Source organism: Homo sapiens, chromosome 16, assembly GCF_000001405.40.
Source record: "Homo sapiens chromosome 16, GRCh38.p14 Primary Assembly".
Lineage (NCBI taxonomy): Eukaryota > Metazoa > Chordata > Mammalia > Primates > Hominidae > Homo > Homo sapiens.
In genome coordinates, this window is record NC_000016.10 from 3,214,766 (window position 1) to 3,220,574 (window position 5,809).

General features: G+C 45.4%; 1 pseudogene across 1 annotated transcript; it reads left to right on the forward strand.

The window, feature by feature from the left end:
• The first annotated feature begins 796 nt into the window (after nt 1-796).
• On the forward strand, nt 797-1,781 carry OR1F2P (olfactory receptor family 1 subfamily F member 2 pseudogene; annotated as a pseudogene). The gene has a single exon (NR_002169.1). The product of NR_002169.1 is annotated as an olfactory receptor family 1 subfamily F member 2 pseudogene (transcript).
• Nucleotides 1,782-5,809: the final 4,028 nt, after the last annotated feature.

Genomic DNA, 5,809 nt, shown 5'->3' on the forward strand with positions numbered 1-5,809 from the left:
TACAAATGCCTGCTCTGTGATTGCCCCAAACATTTACTTACACAGAGGACTAAGACCATGAGCCCCTACTCCTCACACACTCAGGACCCGCCTGTGTTTCCAAGACATTCCAACTCCCACAGTAAGTAGAAGCATTGACCAGTTATGTAGAAATGAGGAACAACTGAGAGTGACAGCACCAACCTTCTCCAGGAAAGGTCGCAGAGGTGAACAATTAAGTATGTGTTGGCTCAGATGTGAAGTTCTTTTAGGAATCTTCTTTGCTACATCATCCAGATACAGGAAGTAATGAGTAATGTACAGAGAAGTGAAGTACAGGAGTCCTGAATCCATCAGTTGTCACTTGAGATTAACCCAGTAATCATCAGTCATTCCTCCAGTCTCTTTATGAGCTGCTAACTAGTTGGGTGGGGAACTGAATGTACCAGAGACACACACATTCTCAGAGTCAGGCTATGTGTACGTGTCTGTGTGTTTTGTTTTCTTTTCTTTTTTAATAGAGATGGGGTCTTGGTATGTTGTCCAGGCTGGTCTTGAACTCCTGGCCTCAAGCCATCTTCCCTCTTTGGCCTTCCAAAGTTCTAGGATTACAGGCATGAGCCACCATGCCCAGCCTGTCTGTGTTTTCAACGTTAAATATGCAAAATAAGAATCAGTGAGTCGTCTAGGAAAAGCATCGTAACTGAGTGTTGGAAATTGGACGTATGGGTGAGGAGACCACATCCTGTTTTTGCAAGTTTGTGAATTGATTTGCAAACGTGGTTCTTCCTGGAGCCTCATCACATCTTAACCACCCATGTGTATGTTTCTGAATTCACTGTCTTCTATGCAGCTGGGTCCAGACATATGAGAGGGACAAACCAGTGAGTGTCTCCGAGTTCCTCCTCTTGGGACTCTCCAGGCAGCCCCAGCAGCAGCATCTCCTCTTTGTGTTCTTCCTCAGCATGTACCTGGCCACTGTCCTGGGGAACCTGCTCATCATCCTGGCCATAAGCATAGACTCCCGCCTGCACACCCCCATGTACTTCTTCCTCAGCAACATGTCCTTTGTGGACAACTGCTTCTCCACCACCGTCCCCAAGATGCTGGCCAATCACATACTCAGGACTCAAACCATCTCCTTCTCTGGCTGTCTCATGCAGATGTATTTTATCAGTGAGCTTGCTGACATGGACAATTTCCTCCTGGCTGTGATGGCCTATGACCGCTTTGTCGCCGTGTGCCGCCCCTTACATTACACAGCAAAGATGACCCATCAGCTCTGTGCCCTGCTGGTCACTGGATCATGGGTGGTTGCCAACTCGAATGCTCTGCTGCACACCCTGCTGATGGCTCGACTCTCATTCTGTGCAGACAACACCATCCCCCACATCTTCTGCGATGTGACTCCCCTCCTGAAACTCTCCTGTTCAGACACACACCTCAGTGAAGTGATGATTCTTACTGAGGCTGCCCTAGTCACGATCACCCCATTTCTTTGCCTCCTGGCTTCCTATATGCACATCACCTGCGTTGTCCTGAGGGTCCCATCCACAAAGGGAAGATGGAAAGCCTTCTCCACCTGTGGCTCCCACCTGGCTGTGGTTCTCCTCTTCTATGGCACCATCATGTCTCCATATTTCAGAACTTCATCCTCCCACTCAGCTCAGAGAGATATAGCAGCTGCTGTGAGGTTCACAGTGGTGACTCCCGTGATGAATCCTTTGATCTACAGCCTGAGGAACAAGGACATAAAAGGGGCTCTTGTAAAAGTGGTTGCTGTGAAATTTTTTTCTGTTCAATAATGGTATAGGCTTAAGAAAGTCCTAGAAGGAGCTAATTTCTGAGATAATCGTTTATTTTTTCTACTGTGTGAAACTTAGCATTGTTTGTTTGTTTGTTTGTTTTGAGACGGAGTCTCTGTCACCCAGGCTGGAGTGGAGTCGTGCGATTTCGGCTCACTGTAACCTTTGCCTCTTGGGTTCAAGATAATCTCCTGCCTCAGCCTCCTGAGTAGATGAGATTACAGATGTGTGCCACCACAATTTTTTTTTTTTTTGTATTTTTAGTAGAGACGGGGTTTCACCATGTTGGTCAGGCTGGTCTCGAGCTCCTGACCTCAAATGATCCACCTGCCTTGGCCTCTCTAAGTGCTGGGATTACAGATGTGAGCCACCGCACCTGGCCAGCATTTGTTTTCATAATAGAAACATCTGGTATCTATTTTGGGAGAACAAAACCCTGCATATAGACTCTTTAGGTTAAAGATGGAAAGAGAGATCCTTTAATTAAATGACCCGACAATTCCAATTGTCAATGCCCTCCTGCCAAAACCTAGAAGGAACACACCTGTAGTTCAATAAGTTGGATTTACTAATTATATAACAAGGGAGAATACACAGCATCAGCATCGGGAATAGTGAGGTGTCTCAATAGAAGAGTCCTAAAAAGGACTTCTGCTTGTGTAATGTTGGTGAGGAAATAGGAATGAGTCTGTGCTCTGGAGTAGATGCCATTACAGAATAGAGATAATTCTGAATGAGTATCTTTTTTTTTTTTTTTTTTTTTTTTGAGACAGAGTCTCACTCAGTCGCCCAGGCTGGAGTGCAGTAGCTCGATCTCCGCTCACTGCAAGCTCCGCCTTCTGGGTTCACGCCATTCTCCTGCCTCAGCCTCCTGAGTAGCTGGGACTACAGGCGCCCGCCACCATGCCCGGCTAATTTTTTTGTATTTTTTTTAGTAGAGAGGGGGTTTCACCGTGTTAGCCAGGATGGTCTCGATTTCCTGACCTGGTGATCCGCCCGCCTCAGCCTCCCAAAGTGCTGGGATTACAGGCGTGAGCCACCACGCCCGGCCATGAATGAGTATCTTAATATATTTTATCTAGAAGGAAAGAAGAGGCCAAAGCTGTGATTGCCAAAGAAATAGCAGTCACTCATATCAACCACCATAGGGGGATGTTTGGTGATTTTTGTGGCTATGACCATGTTCCTGTTTTTGTGTTGAGACATCATTACAGAAAGGTCTTGCTTTGTTTTGCTCTAGCACAGTCAGTGTGGCCTTATCTGATACCGATGTTCTGTGAAATTCTCTATGTTGATCAGGAGAACACAAAAACCTTGCTGTGAGGGCCAGGCCAACTCCTGTCAGGGTTGTTTACTCTTTCTCACAACAGAGACCTTGACATGAACACATCTGATGGAAAGATCAGACATTTGTTGGGACAGGAAGGGGAGGATTGATTTTATTTTATTTTATTTGAGACGGAGTCTCGCTCTCTTGCCCAGGCTGGAGTGCAGTGGCGAGATCTCGGCTCACCGCAACCTCTGTCTACCAGGTTGAAGTGATTCTCCTGATTCAGCCTCCTGAGTAGATGGGATTACAGGTGCGTGTCACCACGCCAGGCTAATTTTTGTTATTTTTAGTAGAGATGGGTTTTCACTGTGTTAGCCAGGATGGTCTCGATCTCCTGACCTCGAGATCTGCCAGCCTCGGCCTCCCAAAGTGCTGGGATTACAGGCGTGAGCCACCGTGCACGGCTGAAGGGAGGATTTATTTAGCGTTCCAGAAAGCCCTAATTCTGCCACTCATTTGAGCTATTTTTATTTTCTTATCTAACCTTTATGTATCACACATTACAGCAGGAATATGGGTAAGTTAAACAAGAAAAATATCTTCCACAGTCCCAAATATCCAGCCATATCAATCAACTACATCTATTTTTTTACACTCTGTTCTGTGTCAATGCACATATATATTTTTATTTAGATACTGATTTATATCCTGGTTTTTCACCTTTCATTTTATAATAAAGCTTTTCCAAATCACTACATAGTCTCCACAATTTTATCTTAATACTTTATATGTCTCCATCAAGTTCTCTAGCAAAAGACTCTTACTAATAATTCTATTTCTAAATTAAAACATAAAGGAAATTTACTATTTAAGAGCGTGATTTGAATTTTATTTGTAGGCCAGGCGCAGTGGCTCACGCCTGTCATCCCAGCACTTTAGGAGGCTGAGGTGGGCGGATTACCTGAGGTCAGGAGTTTCAGACCAGCCTGGCCAATATGGTAAAACCCCGTCTCTACTAAAAATACAAAAATTAGCCGGGTGTGGTGGCGTGGTGCCTATAATCCCAGCTACTCGGGAGGCTGAGGCAAGAGAATTGCTTGACCCTGGGAGGCAGAGGTTGCAGTGAGCTGAGATCACGCCACTGCACTCCAGCCTGGGTGACAGACCGAGACTGTCTCAAAAAATAAATAAATAAATAAAAAGAAAGCGATTGTAGAAAATAACAAAACTGACCAATTATGAAACTGGTTATTTTTTCCTTGTCTTTGACATTCAGCATTTCTTTCTTTTTTCTTTTTTTTTTTTTTTTTTTTTTTGAGAAGGAGTCTCGCTCTGTCGCCCAGGCTAGAGTGCAGTCTTGCGATCTCGGCTCACTGCAAGCTCCGCCTCCTGGGTTCACGCTATTCTCCTGCCTCAGGCTCCCAAGCTGCTGGGAATGCAGGCGCCGGCCACCACGCCCGGCTAATTTTTTTTTTTTTTTTTGTATTACTGAGACAGGGTTTCACTGTGTTAGCTACGATGGTCTCGATTTCCTGACTTTGTGATCCGCCCGCCTCAGGCTCCCAAGCTGCTGGGAATGCAGGCGTGAGCCACCACGCCTGGCTAACATTCAGCATTTTTACTATGATGCATCTGTTTGTGGGTCTCTTTGTGTTTATCTTACTTGAAGTTTACTAAGCTTCCTGTCTGTATAGATTATTATGTTTTAATAAATTTGGGGCCGGGCGCGGTGGCTCAAGCCTGTAATCCCAGCACTTTGGGAGGCCGAGGCGGGTGGATCACGAGGTCAGGAGATCAAGACCATCCTGGCTAACACGGTGAAACCCCATCTCCACTAAAAATACAAAAAAATTAGCTGGGCGTGATGGTGGGCGCCTGTAGTCCCAGCTACTCGGGAGGCTGAAGCAGGAGAATGGCGTGAACTCGGGAGGTGGAGGTTGCAGTGAGCCAAGAACGTGTCACTGCACTCCAGCCTGACCGACAGAGTGAGACTCCGTCTCAAAAAATAAAATTAATTAATTAATTAATTAGGGAAATTTTTAGCCATTATTTTTCCAAAATTTTTTCCTCTCCTTTCTCTCTTCTTCTGGTACTCCCATTGTGTGTATTTGGTGCACTTAATGATGTCCACATTTCTTTGAAGTTATATTCACTTGTCTTTTTTTTTTTTTTTTGAGATGGAGTCTTGCTCTGTCACCCAGGCTGGATCTCCCCTCACTGTGGGTTCAAGAGATTCTCCTGCCTCAGCCTCCCAAGTAGCTGGGACTACAGGCACTCTCACACTGTCATGCTGGAGTCAACCTCCCATTTACTCTGATTTTTTTTTTTAAAGAGATGAGCCCAGCGCTTTGGAAGGCCAAGGCAGGGGGATCACTTGGGCCCAGGAGTTTGAGGCCATCATGGACAACATAGCAAGACCGCGTTTCTAGAAAAATAAAAATAAAAAAATTAGCTGGGTGAGGTGGCATGTCCCTGTAGTCCCAGATACTTGGGAGAGTTAGGCGGAAGGATCTCTTGAGTCTACGAGTTCAGGGCTGTAGTGAGCTATGATCACAGCTCTGTACTCCAGTCTGCGCAACAGAGTGAGACCCTGTTTCTTAAAAAAAAAAAAAAAAAAAAAAAAAAAAAAGATGTGGTCTCAGTAAGTTGCTCAGGCTGGTCTCTAACTCCTGGATTCAAGGAATCCTCCCACCTCAGCTTCCAAAGTAGCTGGGACTACACGCACATGCCACCATGCCGTCTTGATAATGTTTTT